This window comes from Homo sapiens, chromosome 5 (assembly GCF_000001405.40).
Source record: "Homo sapiens chromosome 5, GRCh38.p14 Primary Assembly".
In the NCBI taxonomy this organism is placed as follows: Eukaryota; Metazoa; Chordata; class Mammalia; order Primates; family Hominidae; genus Homo; species Homo sapiens.
In genome coordinates this window covers 169,856,832-169,882,278 of record NC_000005.10, presented here as the reverse complement: position 1 = coordinate 169,882,278, position 25,447 = coordinate 169,856,832, and the positions used below count along the sequence as shown (strand labels likewise).

At 42.8% G+C, this 25,447-nt stretch overlaps 2 protein-coding genes across 10 annotated transcripts in view; one reads left to right on the top strand and one right to left on the bottom strand.

Annotated features, from left to right (window-relative positions):
* INSYN2B (inhibitory synaptic factor family member 2B) overlaps window positions 1-20,976 on the top strand; it is a 119,193-nt gene extending 98,217 nt beyond the window's left edge. For 2 of the 4 annotated variants that reach the window (NM_001346304.2, NM_001129891.3), the window contains exons 3-4: window positions 837-911; window positions 17,820-20,976. In NM_001346304.2, coding sequence (NP_001333233.1) covers window positions 837-911; window positions 17,820-18,006 — 262 coding nt within the window. In that variant the 3' untranslated portion in view covers window positions 18,007-20,976. Of the gene's footprint in view, window positions 1-836; window positions 1,019-17,819 lie in introns of all 4 variants that reach the window. The other 2 variants (XM_047416585.1, XM_017008908.2) reach the window with 1 other exon arrangement.
* Window positions 1-25,447, bottom strand: part of DOCK2 (dedicator of cytokinesis 2) — a 446,108-nt gene that overhangs the window by 201,104 nt on the left and 219,557 nt on the right. The window contains exon 28 of one of the 6 annotated variants that reach the window (XM_011534450.3): window positions 6,387-7,053. The exons of the other annotated variants lie outside the window; for them this stretch is intronic. Coding sequence (XP_011532752.1) covers window positions 6,985-7,053 — 69 coding nt within the window. The 3' untranslated portion in view covers window positions 6,387-6,984. Of the gene's footprint in view, window positions 1-6,386; window positions 7,054-25,447 lie in introns of those variants that run through there. 6 annotated transcript variants of the gene reach the window in all.

The following is a 25,447-nucleotide window of genomic DNA, read 5'->3' as shown; positions in this document are numbered from 1 at the left end:
AAAATGATTTTTATGAAGATGAGGGTTCTATTGATACATGATGGGGGAAAATGATAGCAGGAAGGCACTTCCCCATCCCCCTCCTCTTAGCAAGCTACTGCATTTGTACAGTATTTCTGTTCTTCATGTCATTGTGACAAAGGACTTGAGATGGCCACTCAGCTTACTATTGACCTTCCCCTGTACTGACTACTTTGATGACGGGCTGGCCCATCAATGACCAACTAATTGGAACTGAAATGAGATCACAATTCATTTTGCACAATTCATTTTCGGCAAAGAGAAAAAAAGTCACAAAATGCTTTCCTGGGTGACTCAGCACCAGTATAGGAGGAAAAGGCAGTTATTTGTTTAGATGCGAAATGCTCGTCCCTGCAGAAAGTGCTCTCTAAAGACAAAGAAGAAGCAATGGCTAAAGCTCATCAAAAACAGTAGGAGAGAGAAGTCATTAACTGCTGTTTGCTGTATGAATCAGAATCAGCACTGCCGTATAGGAGAGAAACACTGTGATGATGCAGAATGAAATGTACTGAACTAAGAGGTCAGGAGTTTTAATAACCTCCCTTCCACTCACCTGCAGAATCCCTCATCTCACAACAGGATTGTTGTCAGCATGAAAAAACTCTCAGCTTGAGAAATCTTTAACACGTATAAAGCCTTCTAGACATGTGAGCTCCTATTGTCGTGACATTCTTGTTTCCTTATTTGTAATGGCCGTGCAACTTCAGAGCACCGTGAATGCTGTGCTATAGGGACTAAGGGACAAGTAGGTTGAATGTTTGTGGCCCACGTGACTTTTGCCCATAGATTTATCCAGCAAATGCTCTGTCTTGCAGGCGCAACTTTTATCGAACTGGCCAAGATCTCAACAATTGCAGTACCTGCCAGAACACGGCGTGCATCATATACAGGTACCTGGCCACAAGCGAGGCCTGCTCTGTAGACCATAAAGCCATAGGGTCCGCTGAACACTCTAGCAAACTTTTAAATGCAAAAAGTCAAGAGAGGCAAAAACAAGGTATTTAACTATGAAATGTTAACATCTGGTTCCAAGGCAGGGATTGCTTTGTTTCCTTAGAACAAAGTCTATGAGCATACCCTTTTGATGTAATCATCCCTAGGCTTATCAAACACTAAGTGCAGGCATCATGGTAAGCTTGGCATGCACATTTGCATCTCATTCCACCTTCAGGAAAGTTAAGGCATTCGGTCTCGCTCACACAGAGCATTTTCCTAGAGCAGAAAGGGCCAAACTCAGGACTCACATCCAGATTTTTCAAATCCCAAACCTGTGATCTTAATTATTCCACCACACTGCCTCTTCCTCAACAGTAGCTATGCTATGCCAAGCCCTTACTTGGCACAGTCAAGAACCATGATAAGAACTTTATGTTCATTTCTAAGTATGTCATTTCCTTCTAGCACAGAGTAAGTTTGCTGCAGTAAATTTTTATAAGTGACAAAAGGGAAACATGATATACAGTGTAAACTTGGAGTCAAAGATCTGTGTTTTAATCCCCAAGTCTGCCATCAGCTAACTTAATCTGGGCTCACTTTCCTTATCTGAATAGGGAACAATTATCCCTATTCAGAGTTGCCATGAAGACCAAATGAAATAATATATGTGAATGTGTTTTGTAACTGCAAACCTCTGAACAAATGCAAGGGTTTATACCTGTTTTTACTAGAAAGATCAATGCCCCCTTAGCTGGAAGCCCACTTTCCATGGCATAGTAGAAAAGTGGTCAAAAGCAGTAATTTCCGTTGACGACATCTAATTTTGTTGACCAAAGTGAACAGTTTTGCTTTCTCTATTACACTTCTCTTTTTGTTGAAAACTGGCAGCTTAGGGCCTGAGCAAACTGGAGCCTAATTGGGTTGCCTATGTCTTCTTTTAAAACTTCTCATTCTCTCTGGCAGAATCCTGAAATTTCAATGAGTAAGAGACCATATGCCTGGAAGGCAGAAGGTGCTTGCACTTAGGCAGGGCCTTGAGCATCTTTTCATTGAACCCATCAGCTCCTTACAAAGAGGAACCACCTGTTTTTAATCAAATAACAGAAGCGTCAGGACTGCTCACAGATAAATGCCTTTCACCTCAATGTGAAGTCTTCCTTTAAAAAAGAGGGCCCCGGAAGAGCCCTGCAGCATTGGAAAGCCTAAGCAGAAGTTTCATCAATTGCTCTCTTTTTGCTGCTTCTTTTTTTATATCTTCTAACTTGAACAAATTTTCTAATCATTAGAAGGGACAAAAATTATTAAATGTCTAGACAGAGAGGACAAAACTATTCATCATAAACAAGAAGAATTAATTTGAACTAACCTCCATTTAAATTTTGGATAGTCTCTCTTCTTTTCCGGAGCCAGATAATGTATTTTCTGTTACCTTAAAATGATTTTATATTTGGCCTATATAAGTAAAAAGGGCAAGGGGTGATTTCCAAGTCTACTATGAGTTTCATGACCTCGCCTTGGGCAAATCATTTTCCCCATCTGAAAAATGAGGGTCTTTAATTAAATGGCCCCAAGAGTCCCTTTTAGTTCTGACATTCTGATATTCTAAACCGAATTAAAAGTGACAATATTTGGCTAAACTATGACCTTCCAACATGTCTGAGAATGTTTGCATTTTTCTAGCACTTAATTCAAACATCTCCAGCAAACATTCTAAATTAAGTTACACCCCTGGTTGGGTTAGCAAACCTTCATGCACACCATCCTTTCCAGAAGAACAGCAATTGTATGCATATATCCCTCATTACCATTCAAAGCCAGACTGTTCTCCCAGAAAGAATCTATATCCTTGTATCTAAGCCATTGCAAGGGAACGGGCAATTAATTTGATGAAAGCAGAGATCTGAACAGCCCCATCGTAGTAACAGTGGGAAGATGAGAGTTGTCATTTTTTTTTAGAAAACATTCAAATGACTTCAAACTTGCGTTGTGTTCTGGAAAGTCAGATCTTAGAAACGAATGAATAAGTGATGTGAAATACTCATCCCCAGGCCTTGTTAAGCCGTGATCTCTCTCCCCGATGATGGATGCGCTCAGTGCATGTCACTGTACATAAAGCAGCATGATCCAGCGCATGATGGATTGCCCACTGGGTCTTCTTCTCTGGAGATGTTGCTGCTAAATTAGCCATGCATACGGTTTCCTAAGTGGTATTTCCCAGAGGCTCCAGCAGCTGGAGGCTATGGCTATGCTGCTTGCTCTTATCAAGACATGTGGGGTCATCTGGTTCTATCTAACTCCTTCTCTCTGCTCCCTAAGCCTCCTTGGCTCTCCTCTTACCATTGAACACTTGGATACATCCTATCTCACCAAGAGCACAGACCCAACACCAATGCCTAGAGATTCTATCCATGGCTCTCAGGAGCTTGCAGGGATTTCCGTACATAAAGGTGAATGGATCCTTTGGTTTTGACTACTGTAGACTCCACAGGAAGTGAGTGGCAATTGGCTCTAAACCACCAGCTGATTCCAGGCTGTTTTGGCCCCAATCACTCCCTTCACTTCTCCTTAGCATTAATCCTAGCACAAGTTACCCAAAGGGTTGAGTGAATGCCACCATAGCATCCAAGATTAAATAACATTAAATTACTTAGTAAGAAAGTTGTTCTCTTTTCAAATTTATTTCAATCCTTCCAATAACCTAGAGGGGAAAATCTGAGTTTGGTACTAGAACGTCTTTAAAACCTTCCTAATGCTGGCTTATCACATTTCTCTGCAAAGAAAGAGCAGGTCTCAGTTTCACAGCCCTGAGCAAGCAATAGTTATCTAGCTAGAATACAATCATTTTTACTTTTTTTATTGAAGGCTTTAACTTCTAAAACTAGTCCTTTTAAATACTTTTTGTAATTGATGCAGGTCTGCATTTCCAAAAGTGATATTGCCTGTTTTACATAAAACATGTTTTTAAATTTAAAAAGCGAATGGATTTAGAGAAAAAAAGTGAAGTGAATAACTGTGTAGATGGTATGGGGAATCTTGCAAAAACCATGAAGGTGGAGAATGAGTGATTGAAGTTTGGGAAATGGTGCCCTAAGGAATCGGCTCCTTTTCACCTTCTCAAGGGCACGAGGTCCCTCTAAGCCACTTGCTCCTCCTTCCCTCACTCCCTTCTCTACTTTTCCAGTCATATCTCCAGCATTCATCTTTATGTTTATGCTAAAAATAGTCAGCAGTGCTTCTTTAGAGGTCTTTGATTACAGAGATCACGCATTTCTTTTCTAGACATAACTCCCAGGAAAAAACTGCTTGGTTTCAGTTGTAAAATGTCTCCAATATGTTTTAAAGGAAAATAATAAGAGGTCTTTCCCAGAAAACTTTTCATCTCCCATCCAAGCATGCTGTTCAGGAATTGGAAAGACAGAGTTGCAACCTTACGGTTTTCGGTGGGTGAAGAGAGAGATTGGCCATGTAGGATTTGAAAGGTGCTAGAGAGGTGAGAGAAATAGAAGAGGTTTTGTTTGTCCAGGGTCCACCTGGACAGACTGCTCCTCGTCTTATCCTTAGTTTCTTCCCATCACTTCAACTGCACTCATGGACTTTATTTCTGTGGCACCACTTTCTGCTACCTTTTATCTGATATCTATATCAATCTATCTATCTATCTATCTAAAATTTTCAAGCAACTACATGCAGACATTTCCACTTCATATCCCAAGGCAACTCAAATTTGTCATATCCCCAAACACACCTATTTCACCACAAAATTAATTTTCTTCCCATATTTACTTTGTTCAACACCATTGACCAAGAGGCAACTCCATAAAGATATCACAATCCCTCTTGACTTTCTCTTCATATGCCAAATAAGCTACTGATTCCAACTGCTCAATCCAACCCCTTCACTCCAATTCCTCTGCCGCAGGTTCAGAAAAGGCTCTCATCATTTGTCACTTGAACGTGAATTGACCTTTTTGACACAGGTCTCTTTTCCCTTATCTCAAGTAATCCTCCATGCAGATTGCTAACTTGCACCTGAAAAATAGAATCTGACCATGTCACTCCCCCGCTAAACAATCTTGTCCTGATTCAGGTAGTCTGTGGCTCCTCTCCAGCCATGGGGAACTAGGTGCTCAGCTGGTGGTTCTGTCATTCCTCTGTGCCTTTACATAAGTTCCTTTGCTTTCCTGGGACGTCTTTTCTGCCCTGCTTTGTGTGGATATTTCTTAGTCTTGCAGCTTAAATGTCAGTTATCTGGACAACCTCACAATCCAATCCTTCCCCAGAAGGACCCCCATGCCATGAGCCCTCATCTGCTAGGTCACTGATCCTATTGCATTGTAATATGGTGTTTATAAGTTTCTTTCCTTCAGCAAATGGCTAGTCTCTCAAAGTCATGGATCAGTGTCTCATACATACTTGGTGCTCAGTAGGTTCTTATTAAAGAAAGAAATGACTCTATTAACTAGGAGAGGAAGGAAAACCAGTAGTGGACTTGAGACAGCTGTTTAAATTGTCCAGAAGTAAAGTCATTGTTACTATTAGTGTACACCACCACTCCTGGGTGAGGAAATGAAGGATTAAGCAAATATTCTTATTAGGAAGGAGGGCTTCTATGTAACTGGTTCTCAATGGGTCTTTTTAAGCTGAATGTAAGCCCGTAGGTTGCCAGTTTCAAAATAACTGGAATGCCACATACTTTCAACAAGAGAGAACCTTTCTTTGATGACTCAGAGAGCTTGCTGCACTTTCATAGGACATTGAAACCCTTGTTCTTCCAGGCCATCAGACATTATTGCCCAGGACTTCTGTCCTGACTGTAGTGGGAAAGGCAAAGTTTGACTGTGGGGAACCACAAAACTCCCTCCAGGTGAAAATATCTCCCTTCTCTGGTGTCTGAATTGTCCCAGTGATCTCTTTGGGAGAATGAGTTAGAACATCAGATCTTCAGGTTCTCTTGCTAAATGTCTAATGCTAAATATCAAAACCCAGGCTTGTAGGCAAAATAATGCCTAAGGTGTCCACATCCTACAGACCCTCTGCATATGTGACCTTATTTGGCAAAAGGGACTTTGCAGATGAAATGAAGTGAAGGACTTCAAAGGAGGAGAGCAGGGTGGGTTGTCTGGTGGGCCCAGTGTAATCACAAGGGCCGCAGAGAAAGAGGGAGGCCAGAGGATCAGAGTCAGAGAAGGAGATGTGACGCCAGAGGCAAAGGTCAGAGTGCCGTGGTCACAAGCCAGGAGGCATGGCAGACCCCAAAAGTGAGAGAAGGCAAGGGATGTTTTCTCTCCTAGAGCCTCCAGAAAGAGCACAGCTCTGCTGACACTCTGATTTACAGCTCTGGAGGACTTCTGCCCTCCAGAACTGTAAGAGTAAAATCTATGTTGTTTTAAGCCATTAAATTTGTGGTAATTTCAACAAAGGGACATAAGTACACTCAGAATAAATCCTCATAATTGGAGGCCAGTTTATTTGCCTTTAACTGATGATTTTTACAATGATAACAGCTGACGAAAGAGATCTGTTGGGCTGAAACTTAAGGGAAAGAAAGAAGAGAGCTACCACTTACCGAGGATCCATTATTTACTGATCACTTGAAGTACCTTTTGTTTTCACACTTAATCCTCACAATGATGAGATTGATTAAAGTACCCCCATGTTACAGATGAAGGAACTGTTGCTCAGGAAGGGTCAGGCACTTGCTCAACATTCAGATTAGGCAATTGAAGCTGAGAGAGGCGAGGCACTTGCACAATTATTCTGGAAATAGTAATTGCAACGGCCACAGCAGAACACAGTTCTGTCTTCCAACAAGCCAGATTCCACAGCATGCTGCCTTCCAGATGCCAGACTCATCTGAAGGATATTAGGTCTCAGTGGAATGTTCGATTGTCACTGAGTTCCACTCAGCCAAGGGCATCGTGAGGGTTTACATTGAAGATGTAGGCCCTAGACAGTGCTCCCAAAGCGTGGTCGTGGACCATCTGCATCGGAACCTCCTGGGTGTCTATGGAAACTTGTTGCTGGGTTTCAGCCCCAAAGCCACTGAATCAGAGAGTGTGGGGTGGAGGATGGGAATCCGCAGTTGCAGCAAGCTCCCTGGGAATGGTTGGTTCAAATAAAGCAGAAGGATTTTTTTAGGTAAAAAATCAGGGTCTTGAAAGAAGATACTTGATTTACTAGAAAGTTTTGTGACAACCAGCCCATGAATAAAAAATACTTGCTTGTAAAATAGCCCAGAGAGTAGCTTTAGTTCTTACTACATCTTTGGAAAGATGAATTACCTTTCTGCTTGGCTTTGATTTTAGGGTTAGATGATCATATATAGACCTAATTATATATGTTGGGTAAAGGTGAGAATGGAGGCAAGGGCGAGGGAAGGAAGAGAGAGGAGAGGATTACTCATGGAGCAGGCATATCTTCTGATGCCTCCTGTTTCCAATGAGAAGAGAAAAGGAGTCCCTCTCAGGCCTTTCTGGGGCCCAGGCTTACATTATGCAATACTTGGGAGATTCAGCTGTAACCGTTCCTTCCTCCCACCTCTCTCAGTCCCTCAGGCCTCATCTGAGATCAGAAACTGATTGGCAATCCAGGCTGACATTTTTCCTCCAACAAAGGTTGAGAGTAATTAAAGCCTAATTCTGCTCCCTGGCCAAGGGACCAAACGCTAAGAACGGCCCTCTGGTGGGCCCTAGAGGGTCAACAGCAGACACGTGTAAAAGGTGGGTGTCCAAATGCTGACCATTACCACTACATTCCCACTTCAGGATAGGGGTATGGTCACCCCTTGCTTGGGAACCAAGGACCATGCATGAAGCTAAATGCCACGCAGAATCTGCCACCACCACCCGCTCATTTTCCATTTTCTCAAACTCCACAGACCACCAATTGCTTTTTTTTTTTTTTTTTTTTTTGAGACAGAGTCTCACTGTCGCCTAGGCTGGAGTGCAGTTGCACAATCTCGGCTCACTGCAACCTCTGCCTCCCAGGTTTAAGCGATTTTTCTGCCTCAGCCTCCTGAGTAGCTGGGATTATAGGTGCCCGCCACCACACCCAGCTAATTTTTGTATTATTAGTAGAGACGGGGTTTCACCATGTTGGCCAGGCTGGTCTTGAACCCCTGACCTCAAGTGATCCACTGACCTTGGCCTCCCAAAGTGTTGGGATTACAGGCATGAGCCACCACACCCGGCCGCTTTTTTATTTTAATCATTATTGATGCATCCACTCATAAATTCTTCTGGACCAGACAGAGAAGAACTTATGGATTCTGTAAAGGAGATTCTCTGCAAGAGCCTCCCTTTGTATCTAGCAACCAGCATTCTCGTTCCTAGCACGTCCCCCTCACAGTTTTCATATTCAGAGTATGACAAGGAGGCTCCCTGGAATGCAGGCCAAAGCCTCACAGCTGTGCACCCTGCAAGAGAAAAGCAAGGGCTTCACATCACTGAGGAGAGAGAGGCTCCAGAGAGCTGTGTGAGCCGCTTGAGGTCACACGGTTGGAGGTCTGAGAGTGCTTCTGGGAGTTTCCTTCTTGGTTAAGCGATTTGGCCACTGAGCTCTGGCCTTGCCTGCCACTCAAAGCTATTACCTAACCAGAGAAAAAGGCATTTCTCTAGAAATGCAATATGCACTCAGTCCTATGGGTTTAGCAGCCAACTTTTCACTTAAATTGTTTAGTATTTTCCTTTCATCTGCTTATGACAGTGTCCCAGCGTGGAGCCAGGTGAACTCTTGAGAACCTTGTCTTCCAGCCACAGTCCTCCCTCTGGCCAGCAATGAAGTCCACAGTAAAAAATAATGATAAAGGCACACAGCATATCTGTTATTCTAGTAATCACAGATGCATTTGCAGCTCTCATCAAATTCCAATATGGACTGAGCCACACTATTTCAAATGCTGGGCCGTGAACGTCATAGCAATGCCCTCGAGCATCTCCAAAACAACCAATAGCAAACACAGCTTAAATGTCTCTTTGGGAAACAGCTATGAAGTTTGGGGTACATGTAAAATGTAAAAGGTAAAATTTCTCTGAGTCCCAACAGGAGATTCCCAAGACATTTTTCTCTATTCCCTGATTCTCTTGAATGGCTTTACCCCTTTCTTTTTCTCCCTAGAGTGTAAAGGAAAAGAAGTAGGATTTACAGCATCAGCAATTTATCTGTAATAAAAAATGAAACCTATTTTAATGCATTAATAGCAAAAGAGGCTGACACATGCCATAAATATAAAATTACACGAGTTGAATATTTCAGAGGAATAACAAATGAGTGGCTGCTGGCACAGAGGCCACAGGTGATCACAGAGTGATCCGATCTTTATTTCTCCATCAAGTTAGTGTAATAATCATTACCATTTGTTGAATCAGCCACTGCACTAGGCATTTTGCCCAACACTATATGTCTATCGTTTCATTCCAGACTCCTAACCATCCTAAAATGTGGATAGGATTAACATTCCCATTTTACAGATGAGGAAACTGAGGCTCAGAGAGGTTAAGTGATCTGCCCAAGATCCCAGGGAGCCAGGGCTCAAAACTAGGTCCTACTTTCAGAAGACTTTCCTGTCCCTTCCCCTCTTTCCTTGTGACCTTGCATCGTCAGTGAATAAGTGTGTTAACTTTCTCGGAGATGATCTACCCTTTCTGAGGGTTTCACATGCAGATCTTACTGGCACAGAGTCACAGAACCCAAAACACAGATTTCTTTCAGATATAGCTATCAGCAGAGATTTCTGCAGCTTGATCCCATTTATATACATGCCAAGAAGAGAACCTGTGATTTTCTGAAGACCCAACAGCAGATAGATGCCCTAGGAGAAGGGGTAGACTTGCCAATTTGAAATAGCTGCAAGTTGTGAAGCACAAAATTAAACCCTATAAAAAATGAGCAAACTTGTCATTAGGAGAAAGTTTTAGGAACAATATCCCTTCCAGGCTGGGGAGAGAAAAACATACAAACTAAAGTTCCTGTGATCCGAGACTGTAATTCTTCCCCAGAGATGCCTTCCAAAGTGTCATGATTTATCCAAATGGACGAGAACCAAACTACTCTCGCTGCATCCATTGATTCTTACAGCTAATTCTTTAAAAGAGAAAGTTGCAGGAGGTCAGTAAATCAGTGGTGCACCTGGGTTCTGTAGAAACAGGGACCACAGAAATGTTCCAACAAGAGATGAAGAAGAAGTGGAGGGGAATTTGGAAGATGGTTTGTCTTCAGGGAGACGCCATGAATCATTCACTTCTCGGCCAACTTGCTTAGAGTGTAGTTGATGGCAGTGGCTTGTTGGCATGCCTGTTTATAAAAGAGCAGGACCCACTGCTGAGAAGGAAGTGCAAAATGGCTCACTGGAGACATCAGCAGGCTATACCAGACCCAAGATTGCTGACCCCAGATATTATCTTCAATAGGCTGCCTCCTTAGAAGGAGAGCACCTTTTTTGGGTATGCAGCCTCCCTTTCAAGGCTGCCCTGAAATTGAGAAAGAGTATTCCAAGGTGGACTGGTCAGCTGGTCCATAAAGCGTCCCCCATGCACCCCAGCCCTAGTTTAGGTCTGGTTCCACAGGGGACTGTGAGGTCATCCAGGAGCACCAGGCCTTGGCCACCACCTCCACCCCCACCACCCTACATATTTTGCAATCAGAATTTCATACAGATGCAGATTACTATGTTATTTCAGTCCAGTGCATCTTAGTGTAGAAGCTTTGGGGCTAGACTGTCAGGGTTCGGATTCTGACTCTGTCACTTATATTTACATGCCCTTGGCAGAATATTTAACCTCTCTTTGCCTCAGTTTTCTCATTTATAAAATGAAGGTAATATTATTTATCCCATGGGATTGTGAGAATTCATGAGAGAAGGAGTGTAAACTTGTAGCATAGTGTCTAGCACATAGATTTCATTCCATAAATGACCATCATTCTTTTTATCATAATTATTATTTTTGCCCATTTAAATTACCATGTATCCTAATCTAATGTGGCCCAGGTACTCTCTTTTTGTTTCTTCTCCTTAGAATAAAATGCTGGAAAGAGTTAGGTCCATGGCTAAAACATTTGGTCCTTCTTTAAGCAGAAAAATCAAAGGACTAGGTATCAGGAAACTAGGTGAATAGACTGAATGTTTGTGTACCCTTCAAATTCAGATTAATTCCTAATGCCCCATGTGATGATATTTGGAGGTAGAAACTTTGGAAGGTGATTAGGTCATGAACTTGGAGTCCTCGTGAATGGGATTAGTGCCCTTATAAAGAGAACTCAGAGAGGTCCCTCTCCCCTTTCTGCCACGTGAGGACACAGCAAGGGAATACAGCTGTCTGTAGACCAGGAAGAGGGCCCTTACCAGACACCCAACTAACAGCACTTTGATTTTCAACTTCCCACCTCCAGAACTGTGAGAAATAAAGTGTATGTATGTATGTATAAGCCACCCAGTCTGTAGTATTTTGTTATAGCAACCCAAGCAGACTAAGACATAGGGTTTAGATTCTGCTTGTAACTTACAGTATGACTTCCCTTTGCCAACTTGCTTGTCTGTTTAAATGGGCAACAACCTTCCTATCTTCCTGGGCTATCATGAGGATAAAATAAAAACACAGACCTAATGCTAAATGATGAGTTAATGGGTGCAGCATACCAACATGGCACATGTTTACATGTGTAACAAACCTGCACATTGTGCACATGTACCCTAAAACTTAAAGTATAATAATAATAAAATTTTAAAAAATCAAAAAATTAAAAAAAGAAGAAAAAAACCCACAGATCTAAAATACTTTGCAAATTCAAAAGTTATATACAACTGAGAGGCTTCTGTTATTTCTTTCTACATCAATTTTTATCTCCTTTTGGCTCACCCAACTTCAGTTTACCCAGCCAAGATCCTGCATCCAGAACCTCGCTCTGTTGTTTGCTCATGAGCTTATCTATTTTTTGCTATTTGTTACTCACTGTTTCTTCTTCCAGCCAAGTCATGACTTGGGGCTCTTGCTGCTTCCAATTACCTAGAAAAACATCTTTCTGCTTTTCAGCGAGCATGATGGCTGGAGCACTGATCTGTAAGCCAGATTAGTGAGGTACCCCCAAGAGGGAAACCTGAAAGTTCTTACCATTTCTGGTTTACACATAGCTCACTCTCTAAATGCAACGTGGCTCCGTGTTCAGACATCTCCTTGGATGTGAAGGGCTCTAAGGCACCTCAGGCAGTTAACTGAGCATCCCTAAACCACAGGTCCCATGTCCCATGCATCCTCAGGAAGACCAACTCACATACCATGAATGCCCTGGACTATCTCAAGGGCTCGTGTCCGGAATTTTGCATTGTAACAATTTCTTAACTACTATTTGCCCTCCACTGTAAGCCAGGGTTCTGCAAACTCAGCACTCTGCACCTATCTTCCTTCTTACGATCCTGCATGGAATATACAGCATATGTGAAATATGGATGGTGGAAGATGGTAAGGATGGGAGGGTACAGAGAGTAGGTGGAAGCAGTGAAAGCGAGGTGAGGTCAGAAAAGTTATTGGTGTGCTATTTGGATCCTTGGGCTGAAACCCAAAGCAGAGAGTCTCTCCCACTGTCTGCAAACAACGCTCTGCTAAGAATTAACTTCAATTTTCACCAAGTTGGCAACTTACTCCTTTTTGCAAGGGGTTGCTAAGCATGGTGTAGTAGCTAAGTAAGAAGTAGAAATGCATCTTCTCTTTTCTACCCAGCCTCAAGATAAAAAGCAGATGAGAGGGCTCTGTCCCTCCCCATTTATAAGGCAGCTGCCACCAAAGCAAAATATACTCCCTCTCCTCCCTTCCAAACTGTAGTGTGTCAAACGGATGAATAAAAAGAAAAGTGGCAATTTTCCTTTATGTTAATAAATTGCTTTGGCCTAAAAAACATTAATCAATTTCTTTCCGAAGCACACACACTTCTCCATATTCTGCTATTTGCCTGGCCTTGAAAAGAAAGTTACTTTCAATCCCCTTTAAATTGTTCAAGACCAGTGGGGGCAGTCACAAGAGGGGAGTGGGGAGCTCCCTAAATCCCAGTGATTATAATGAAACCCTGCTGTGTTTCCATAGAAACATAAAGAGTGTGTTCTTCCCTGAATGTAGATGGTGGGGAGGGGTGAGGAGTGATGCTGCTGGTAAGGTGCGCAGCTACTGAAGAGCTGAAGGTTGATGCGAGGAGCTGAGATGGGAAGGCAAAGGACCTAGTGAGGAAGAGTGGAGTGGGCCAAGACAGTGTTCCATGTGCAGTGATTTCAGCTGCTATTGCATCCCATCTGCACAGCCACCCAGCGAGGAAGCTAGTGTAACTCCCAAGTTCAACTGAGCCGTGGGAAGAGAAGAAACTTGCCCAGGGTCACCCAGCCAGGAAGTGCTGCAGCCTCCATTCAAACCCAAGAGCATTCAGCTCTGGGGCCCTCACTCCATCCTCTATGTTGGGCTGGGCTTCAAGTTGTGATGGTGAGATAAAGTTTCCGTTCCATCTCCCGGTCTTTTCTACCCAGGCCTGCAAGTTCCATACACATTCTAGAATCATCCAGAGCATTAATATCATTTTCTTTTTGAGATGGGGACAACTCAATCTCTCACCTGGGCTGGAGTGCAGTGGTGCACTCATAGCTAATTGCAGCCACAATTTCCTGGGCTGAAGTGATCCTCTCACCTCAGCCTCCCAAGTAGCTGGGATCACAGTTGCACACCACCACACATGGCTAATTTTTTACTTTTTGTAGAGATGGTGTCTCGCTATGTTGCCCAGGCTGGTCTCAAACTCCTGACCTCAAGGAATCCTCCCACCTGGGTCTTTCGAAGTGCTGGGATTACAGGCATGAGCCACTGCGCCCAGCCTATTTTTATTAAACAGGTATTAGGACACTTGTAAATCTTGTCAAACTCAGCTGGTTTGTTGTCATTGTTTGTTTATTTGAATTATGAAGTCAGAGACACTTCACATATAAGGAGAGGAAGGCAGTTGGTGCATGTGTGTATTCATATAATTTGGTGGAAGCATATGGATGAAGAATTGGAAAGTAGGAGTAGTTCAGAGAAATAAGAAGTACATTTTGAAAGCAATTGTTACTTAATCACCTATCTCAAACACACTGGGGACAGTATCCACATCTGTCTAACTTACTGTTGTGTTCCTGGAACCTGGTACAGTGTCAGGCCCAGAGCAGGATGGACTGATGATGGATGGAATGTTTTGTACAAGAAAATCTTAGACTCCTAAAATCTTAGAGGGGGTACCCACTCTCTTTGGCTCTATCTGGTACTCTATGATGAAGATTGTTTTTCTGTCACAGTAGGGAGGGCAGGGCTATTTCAGGAGCTAGGAGCATTGTGAATATAGATGTTCCCTATCTGTGAACTATGTGTGTTCCTGGTGCTAGAGGGGCGAGAATCAGAGCTTGCAACTCACCATGTTAAAGTCCTTCCTTGCTGCAATGCAGGGGTTGCCTAGGCTCTCAATCCATCTCCAGTTTCCACTGGGGAGAATGAAGTATAGGTGGTGCAGACAGAAACCCACTCCACCACACCCCAGACAAATAGGGGTGCAGTACCAGGTGATGCCTCCTGGAAGAAGAGACTGTGATGTTATGATTATATATGTGTGTATGTGTGCGATCTATGTGTGTGGGGGGATCAATAGATAGAGACAAATAGATGCTAGAGGTAGATAGATAGATAGATAGATAGATGATAGATAATGATACATGATAGATGGATAGATAACGATAGATGACAGATAGATGATAGATAATAGATACTGATAGATGATAGATACATGATAGATGATAGATGATAGATAGATAAATAGATAATAGATGATAGATTAGATAGATGATAGATGGATGGATCAATAGATAGACAGACAGATAGATAGATAGACAGACAGACAGACAGACAGACAGACAGAGAGGTTTTCACCCATGGTTCCTGGCTCATAACTCCCATAGCCCTTGTTACAATCTTTTGTTATCACGTTGGGTGAGTTAGGCCTCAGGAGCAGGCCTCAGGAAACAAAGTCTCTTTCTCTGACCTTCTCCTGTCCTCCTGTCACCTGCCTAAGGCCGGAATCTAATCTGATTGTGGGTCAAGAGACTGATTCCAGAGTGGGTCCTGCCCATACCCTGGAGGAATGAGTGCTACACAGGGGCTGAAGCCCCCACACATCTCTTCATCTGTATCCTTTGCAATATCCTTTATGATACACCAGTAAACGTAAGGAAGTGTTTCCCTGAGTTCTGTGAACCACTCCAGCAAATTAATCAAACCCAAAGAAGGGGTTTTGGGAACCCCAACTTGAAGCTAGTCAGTCAGAAGTTCCAAGGTCCCGGACTTGTAAGTGGGGGGAAGTCTTGTGGGATTGAGCCCCCAATCTATGGAATCTGATGCTATCTCTGGGTAGATAGTACTGGAACTGAATTGGAAGACACCCAACTGGTGGCCACTGCTTGGTAGTGGGGAGAAACTCCCACACATTTGGTCATAGAAGTCTTCTTCTGTGTTGATGGTTGTTGTGGTGTGAGAGCAGAGGAAAAACATGGTTTCAGAGTTTTTCCTGAAATAGAGACTCCTGAAATAGACAGTCAGTATGTGAGTCTGCACATGCCTCTGCCCACTGGCCTGGCAAATTCTGGGCTTTGGCTAGAAGGTCTCTAACAGCTACTGATGCCAGCACTGAGGACACAGATTCACTGGATTAGCAGTGCCAGGAGGCCAGGGAGATTGTCTGCCTACCATTCCTTCCTCAGCAGCCAGAACAGGGCCTGCCACAAAGAAGATGCTCAATAAATGTTTGTCGAGTGACTGACTGGATACTTGGTGCCTACTCTATGCTGCGTGTTGTATATGCACATGGCATTTAAGCTTCACTGAGGTCCTTTGCGTAGGCACTACTCATTTTGCAGATGAGGACACCATAGCCTGGAAGTGGGAAATGACTTCCCCAAGATCTCACAGTGAAACTGTGGGGCTTTGCTTTAAAAACCACAGCCTATGTTTCATCCACAATACAATTCTAATTTAATATAATGATGGCCTATAGGTCATCCAGCCAGGATTATGTCCCCATAGAGAGGGCCAGAGAGAACAGAAAGAGAAGGCATGTAAGTGGAGGAGAAGCAAGCCTGGATGAAAAATGCAGAAACAAAACAATCAGATACCCTTTCCTAGTGCTCCCTAAGAACTAACACCCCATCAGTCTTGCTATAAAACAGGCCCCCTCGCCCCTCTGACTCTTCAGCCCTGCAACAACCCATCAGTCTTGCTATAAAACAGGCCCCCTCGCCCCTCTGACTCTTCAGCCCTGCCTCTTCCATCTCAGAATGCTCAGGGACGAGGCACTCTTTGGGGCTCCATTCGTCATGCATGGCAACGGCAACATGCCTTTGCAGCAGCATGAACTCGGGTCCCCGGCCCTGGGAGGTGACATGGGGAGAGTAAGCAAGGGCAGATGTCCCTTTAATGACAGCTGTTTTCCAGCCCTTGCTGGGTATAAAGGCACTGGCCAGTCATGCCACATCATAAACCAACATGGGGTCTTTGGTCTCCCAGATGCAACATTTCATTTTCCTTCTGGCTAAACAAGGAGAATGCACTGTTTTCATGACCACGTTTCCTCCACTTCCCACACTCCCACGCTGGCTCCTCATCCTTGGGCCTTCTGAGACCCCTGGTATGAAACCAGGTAACAAACACATCAAAAAGCTTAAGAGCTTTCTTATAAGCATCTTGGCACTGAAAACTCCTCTGTAAGTAAATCCTCCTCATGGAGGAAAGACAATTAAGGACAGAGGGAACCCGTGCTCAGCCCACAGGGATGTCTAAGAGGATTCGTTTTTTCTGCCCCGGCTCTCTGGGTTCTGGGGAGGGTGAACCAGAGTGAGGAAGCAGGCTGAGAGTCCCTGAGGTCTGCTGGCCTGACTTCCAGACATGCAGAGGTCACAGACAGCATCAGCACCCACTCCCTACAGGCCAGGCTTCTGTTCAACGCCCACCTCCCCTGACCTCAGGGACCCCTGCTCTGCGACAGGTTCACTTTTACCTCCTCAATGTTTGTGATAATCAGCACGGGACAATGCAGTCCGTATGTTAATGACACCAAAACACACAAGTAAAATAGCCAACAACAACAACAACGAAAAAGAGGTTGGGAATGTCCATCCATCAGTAGAGGAATATTTAAATACACTGTATTGAGGAATACTACAAGGCAGTCTTACATGTAAAGCTCTCCAAGATATATCTTGAAGTTGAGATGCAATTCAAAGAGCAAGACGTAATATATTGGTAGAAATTATGTTAATGATGATGATGATAGCGGTAATAGAAGCTAACACATACGGAGGACTTAGCGCACGCCAGGCACTACTCTGAGCATTTCATTTATATTATCTCAGTTTACACACATTAATTCCAAAGAAAGCCTTTGAGATAGGTGCTCTTATTACCCCCATTTTACAGATAATGAAACTGAGCTGTCAGTTTTCTTGTCTGTTCCTCTGCATTATCTCAATTTTTTAATAATGAGACAGTTTTCATGCATAACACATGCCAAAACCCCATTAATGATTAAGAGAGAGACTGGAGCCAATATTTACAGAACACTTGCCATCAGGTCTCACTGACCCTTAATAACATCCCTGTGAGGAAGGCATTACAGGTGCCAATTCAATCACTGAAGAACTAGAGGTTCAGAGAGGTGGCATCACTTTCCCAAGGTCAAAGAGCCAGTAGGTACCTAAGGATCTAGGATTTGATCCCAAAGCTCATGCTCTTCCATATTAGTTGGGGCTGAGAGATGCTTAATCAGTCTGTGCTGATTCGAATTCACTTTCCTTCCTTCCTCTCTGTGTTTTTCAGTGTAGAGTATGATTTTCGGCAGCAGGAAGGCAGGTTCCATGAAGTTTTGCAGAGTCTGGAGGAAGCAGAGCCAGTTGAGGAGGCATCGCCCCCACCAAAGTCCCCAGCAGAACCCCCAGCCCCGGAAAAGCAGGACTTAAGGCGGAAAACCAAGAAGGTGAAAAAGAAATGCTTCTGGTGGATCTGAGCTGGTTGGGACCATCCCCCAGCCCCCCAACTCCACGCACTTCCCTGAGATGGGAAATCCACTGCACTTAAGGCCTGCCCTGCTTCTTTGCAAAGGCCCTGGGCTGTGAGCCCCTTGGCCTGTGAAACAGAAGAGCCTTGGAGCTGATGTAGCCGCTGCTGGACACCTGACCACGATCCTTACCTGAGTGCGTGCGACTGCTTGCTGAGGGCTTCACGGACACTAGAGTGACCGCTTGCCAAGTTCCCTGTCACACTCAGCCAGAACTCATGCTGAGTTTTAAGACCAGATTCCCACCACGAGCAAAACCCCACACTACACCTTCCAACACCTCCAAGATGCCAAGCACTTCCTTCCCATCCTGGGTTCATAAACCCAAAAGAAAAAAATAGTGTTGTGCAGACCCGGAAGGTAGAGGGAGGTTATAGGTTATAAGCAGGTACCATAGAAAAAAATGAGATAAACTGGCAGTTTTCTAAGATATCAGCATACATAATAAGCACAAGAGAAGTGGGCAGGGCATAAAATGCTTATGCAAGATCACCCTGGTGTGTTGGGTTGTTTTCCTTTTTAATTAGCCCCTTGATCCCAAATTAAGGCTCTGTCATCTCATGGTGCATGCACCTTTCTGCCTGTGGCAGAGTCAGGCCACCCCAGGGTATAAACTTGTTGGTGTGGCTGTGCTGGATAAGTGTAATTCAAAGAGGATTTCAGCAGCTGTAGCTGTTCCAGGGCCCACCCTAAACCATCATGCTTCTTCTCTGCCTAGGGCCTGAGACCACCTGGCAAATGGGTGGAATCTGTTTTTGGTGTGAACTTTAAGACTCCATAGTTAACTTACCTGCAATATTTAAAATCATGAGATCCAGCAACCTGTCCATCAGTTACATCTTATGAGTAACATAGATAAGGCTAAGATAAAACACAACACTGTTTCTCATCCCTTCATCCCAGAAACAGCCGTGTAGATAGGTTCAAACATATATTAATCGACACAGTCTCCCTTCCTGGTGACCAGACAATGGTCACCTGATTGAAAAACTAGCAGGACTATGGATGAGGATATAGTTTTTTCTATTTGAGGTTTAAATATCTTTCCATCCCAAAGTCTGAGTTATTCAAGGTCTGGCTCATTCTGTTGACAAGACCTACATACATGTGGATCCAGTCAAACTTGCATGGCTGAACAAACTACTAAAGTAATATAATTAAGTAATTGCTATATACTCTTGTGGATGAGGGGTAGGATGGAAAGGCTCAGATTCCTTCTGGTTGAATTAAAATCTCTATCAGCATGTGGTTAGATTGACATTGCTAGAAAGGGAGCCTGAAACTAAACATACATTAAACGAAGAAGGTATTTTGTAATTCCCTTGGCTGAAGATCCAGTGTCTAAGCTAGAATCTTTGCAGAGCACAGAATCCTGTGTGTTCGTGGGATGTACCTACCCCACTGCAAATTGAGCCTAATTGAGCAAACCACTCCGATGGTTTCACCTTCCCCTGTCATAGTGATGCAGTGAACAAAGCTATTTCAGTGAGAATGAAAGGGAAATTTGGCAAGGAATATCAGCTTGCACTATTTAAGTCTTGGAATGTCATTCAAGATGTTCTTGTTCTGTTTCTAGTGTAATGTTTAAGCCCACAGAATCAGACCGGAATATATAACGTCATGTTAGAATTAAGATAAATACACTTGTCATACTTAAGAAGCCACATTTCAATAAGATATGCTACCACTGGCTAAAAGCCACAGATTTTTTTTTTCCTGTATCCATACGATCAACTGTCAGTTGGCCCCAGCAATGGAAAAGAACAGAATAGAGGATAATCCAATAAAGTGAAATCATTTGGGACCTCTTATGTAATTTTATCTTGTAGTAGAGCTTCCATCTTAATTTGCTTTGCTTACGCTAATTTCATGTGAATTTATATTCTCGGGCATCATGCTAGAATGTAAATAACCCTGTTCCCAGAATTAAGAGATCCAGGCAACCAAGCAGTCTATACCACTAGCCTTTGGCAAATGGCTTAAATTTCCCGGCCTGTTTGTCCATTCTTGAATACAGATAAGAACATATGCTTTCCTACTTTATAAACTCTTAGCACGTTCCACATTATGTGAGCTGAGTGACTCAGAGCTGAGCTGGATTACTGGCCAAAGTTAGCCTGGGAAGATAAAGAGATGTTTGAGGTACCTCACACAAAATTAATAAGCTGATGTGGTCATAGATATGTTTCCAGTTGAGGCCCTCACATGAACCCTTAACTGAATTAAATAAAACTGGGACTAGAAAATGTTGACATTTTCTGCACTTCCCCAACAAAAAAAAAAGAAAAGAAAAGAAAAGAAAAAAATAAATAAAATGTTGACATTTCTAGAAATACAGCCAAACAAGGCTGTACTGATTCTACACCAAAGCACAACACCGCATTGCTTGGGCCACTGACCTGAAACTGGGAAGGAGTTCTCTTCTGAAAAATTGATATTTAAAATCATTATGAGGAAATAGGATTCCATAAACATTTTCCTGATGAACAAAAATGGTCGTCTCTATGTTTAAAACACCACACACACATATACCAAAACTGCATACTCACTTATTCATGTGAAAATCACTGCTTCTTTGTAAAATATTACGTAACATCTACCATGATATTCTACAGAAATGCTGTACTTGAGGTTATCTGGTTTGCTGGAGAGATATTAACTTAGCAAAAATTACTTTTATAAAATTGAAAGGAAAAAGACCAATACATCAACTTAAATTGCAGGAGTTTATGTAGCTGCTTTCTCTGTAGTTTAAAAAGCAATGCATAAATGCATACTCACTATCCTTGGAACTTAATACCAGCTCATCTATAGAGCACCTTCTTAAAGACGATGTACTGATGTAAGGTTTTGTAAATTTCTAAACTGTTTTAAACGGGATATTATCTTTTGCAATAAACTTACATATTTTTTCTAGGTTTTAAGACTCCATTACTAGCTTGGGTTGATTTCAGTTATAAAATGTATGCTTAAGAAGGACACCTCAATGGTCCTAAGGGCAAGTATGGCTTTCATTATAATTGCTTCTATATATTTCTAAGGGAAATAAATAAAGAGCAGATTCAGAACTTAGTGTCACGATGATCACATGAAGCCCCGCGTGTCCCGTGAGTGAGGGAGGCAGCATGAATAAATGGAGAGCTGCTCCCAGCCTCATTCCATGGATGTACAGGCATGATTTGTATCATTATACTCAGACACCTGAACTCTAATTTATCCAGTACTTTTCTTTATTTCCCCCTTAATTTTTTTCCTTAAAAGGCAAATTTATATCGCCAATGTGAAGAAAAACAATATCATGTTCCAAAAATAGAATATGAAATAAAAATATCTTATTAAGTTCTTGCTAAACCCTGTTGCTATTGAGGCTGCTAAGCCTGAGACCAGCTCTCTGTTAAGATGGGAGATTAGCAAATATTCAACACATACGAAAGGCACATTCACACCAAGCCCATTTTCTACTTGACTAAACAGGATGTTTGAGAGAGAATTGAAAAGAAAACAACTTTCCTGTCATGTGATTCAGTATTCCTTTTCCTGCCTTCTCCACGAACCATCTAAAACCAGCTTGGGTTTACACCTGGAGAGTGAGTCTCCCACTTTGGGAAACATCAATTTAGAGAAACAATAACAAAAACAAACCCTGGACATAGAATCAGAAGTCTTGGGTTTGACAGCAGTCTGCTATCTTATTTTTGCTGCATAAACTTGAGCAAGTTGCTTAGTTTCTGTGAGCCTCTGATTCCTCTGATATACCCCCTGCCTCCCAAGAGTGCCTTGACAATGAACTGAGTGACAGCCAAGAACACAATGTAGGGTACACATTGGGCCAGGTGCTCAACAAGCACATATTCAGTCATTTGTGGATTGAAGTAAATTGGGAGAGAGAAAGGAAGATACCTCCGTGAAGCTGCAGTGGTTTTCAGAAACAGGTTTTTCTCGGGGCAAGGGAAGAACACTTTCTGTGGGCACGATGGCTCACACCTGTAATACCAACACTTTGGGAAGCCAAGGTAGGAGGATTGCTTGAGCTCAGGAGTTTGAGACCAACCTGGGCAAAGTAGTGAGACCCCGTCAAACAATTAAAAAATTAGTCAAGAGTGTGGCTCACACCTCTGGTCCCCACTAATCAGGAGGCTGAGGCAGGAGGATAGCTTAAACCCAAGAGGGCTGGAGTTAGCTGTGACCATGCCACTGCACTCCAACCTAGGTGACGGAGCAATAGTCTGTCTCAAAAAAAAAAAAGAAAAAAAAAAAAAAAAAGAAGGATCCACCAGAAACCACGACAGTTAATGTTAAGTAATAAAGTCGCCCATGATTCAAAAGAGCACATGGGCACATAAAATACAGCACAGCACTCCGGGAATTAAAGATTCTTGTTGTGTGGAATCAAATATCCTAGAGGTAAAAGAGACTTTAAGAGCCAGGTCCCTTCCATTTTAAGCACAAGTCAATTAAGGAAGGCTAAATGATTTGTCCAAGGGCTTATAGCAATCCTGTGGGGAAGTAGGTGTTGGGAGCAATGTGGTTGGTGGGTGGAATGTGTGAGGGGCCAGGGCCATTCCAGGAAGCATAAGGCTAGACTTGAAACCCGTTCTTACCTTCATTAGCTGAGCTGAATCCTCAATATAACCTTCACTTGAAAAGGCTCTCATTTTAAGCTGCTCAAGGCAACTTGCTGTATGCTAAAAATGTATTTCTTTTTATAAATGCCAAGAAACAAAGATGTTTTATGATCACTACGCCCATCAAGCATTGCTTGCAAGAAAAAGTGCGGGGGACAAATCCTAATCCAACACTGTCAGCATTCAGCACAAACCACATTTGACTGGTTTAATGAACATAATCCCATTTTTGAGTACTTTCACCTCAACTTCCTCCCCATCTTCTTTTCACCAATTTACAGCCTAAATTTCGATGGACCATATCATACCACCCCTACTCCTGAGGTTTTGCAAATGTCTAATTTCTCTCTGCCTCCTACAGAACTCTCAGCCCATAAAGAGCAGGGATGCATCCGTTGGCAACACACAGAGTTTGGTTCTCTCATTGCCAGACTAAGCCAAGTTCTCAGGTCAGCGTGCCTCTCCACTGTGGGCATCCTGTTCTAAACCCACTTCATTTCTCAACTGGCCTCTGCAGGAACCTCCCCAACAGGTCTCCCCACATGCAATCTCTTCTTTTATACTTATTTTTTAAATATATTTTGAAACAGGGTCTCACTCTGTCACCCAGGCTGAAGTGCAGTGGCACTATCATAGCTCACTGCAGCCTAAAACTCCTAGGCTCCAGCAATCCTTTCACCTCAGCCTCCCCAGTAACTGGGATTACAGGTGCTTACCACCACAACCCACTAATGTTTTTTTTAAAATAATTATTTTCTGTAAAGACTGAGCCTTGCTATGTTGTCCAAGCTGGTCTCAAACTCCTGGCTCAAGCAATCCTCCTGCCTCAACCTCCCAAAGTGCTGGGATTACAGGTGCACGACACCGTACCCAGCCCCTCTCTCACTTCTCAAATATCTTCTCCACATAGCAGCCAAAGCAATCATTGCAAAATTTGGATGGGAATAACATTACACTCTGACTTAGAACTGTTCAGTGGCTTCCCAATATACTTAGGAAGTAAGACTAGGTATGTTGCTCTGGCCCGAAGCCCTGCACATCCTGCCCTGCCTCTCCTGTAAGCTCCCACCACAGGCCCTTCCGGTGTTTGTCTTCCAGTCTCAGCCAGCCTTCTTGGCTTTCTTGGACCTACCACGCCTTCAGTCCCTGAAGGCTCCTGTTCCTCCTGCCTTCAATACTCCCCACCTACACCACCCTCCCTGCCCAGCAGCTCTGTTGGGGTTTCCCAGGTCATGCCTCCCATGGCTACCACCAACTCAGCCCAGACCATGCCAAATACCCCTCTTAGACATTTGCCTGGCACAAGGGACCTTACCATCGAAGTCCTTGGCGCAGTTGTCCTTGTACATATATCTGCGTCATTCTTTGATCAAGGTATCTATCTAGACTGAAGTCTTCCTAAGGAAGCCATCTCGCTTATTCTTGCTTGCCTTTGTATCTCCATCATGTACCACCATGGGGTTTAAATACTCATTGCAGAAATAAATTATTGAGTACATTAGATTCACTGGGCATACACCAGTTTATCCCTGGTCCTTCAGTCCTCATATTAGGATGGTACCATAGTGAGTACAGTCCTGAATGATATATGGTATAAATCTATACATAAAGAAACAATTCTCTCTATCCTCATTCTGCTCCCCACCAAAACCAAAAGGATCTTCAGAAACTTAACACTTATCAAATATAAAACCAACGTATATAAACAGAATACTTATCTTTTTAATTGAGAATATCTGCATTCAAGTTATTTCATAGTATATTCCCAAAATGATTGATTATTTAATTCCTAGAATTAAATGATCTATTATTGTGGTTTTGGTTTATGTACGTGTGATTTTCTTTTTTCTTTTTTTTTTTTTTAGTTTTGTTCCCAGAACAAATAACCAGTCTTCTCAAAGAGAGACTTAAGTCCCTGAGGAATAGAAAGAGCAATTTTTCCATCTTCTCACCATCATGCCCTAGTCTCAGCTCTTTATAGAAATTAGGGTCTGCCACTGGTAATATGCCCAAGGCTTCTAACTCTCCTGAGGTGAGAGTGTAATGTTATTCCCATCCAAATTTTGCAATGATTGCTTTGGCTGCTATGTGGAGAAGATATTTGAGAAGTGAGAGAGGGGCCGGGTACGGTGTCGTGCACCTGTAATCCCTGAGGTCTACATGGCATTCAGGACCCAGGAATAAAAAGACACTAATGTTTGCTCCCAGTACCCTTCCCCCTGCCAAGATCTTTGTCCTGAATATTGATGGTCCAGTTTCACATTGTTTCAGAATAAATTGTCATCATAAGTAAATCCCAATGCATTCTGCACATTTTACCAGATACTGCCTTACCATATCAAAGAGTAAATGACTTTTGAAATTAAAGCAGATTGTTGACTATTTTCCCTGTAATGTTTCTATTAAAATGCCAGAATTTATTACATGTGACCTAGTCCATTCTGGAGAAAATGCAATTTAAGAGACAAGGTCTAACTAAAGGAACATTTTGGGCAAAGCATTTTGCCTTGGCTCAAAGCAGAACTAAAATGAAAAGACAGTAAAATCGCACCAAAAGATCATTTGCTTGGAAGCAAATAAGAGTTTTATTATCATAAATGGCTTTCACAAATTCTTAGAATCCGTAAGTATACTATATTAGATTTTACTCAAATGAAACCCATATGTTTGCTCCTGACAAAAACCTTTATTTCTTAAATCATTAGTTAAACATGGTGACCTCTACTTGGTGCTTCATCTTGGTTTCCCAGGTAGCAGACACACTG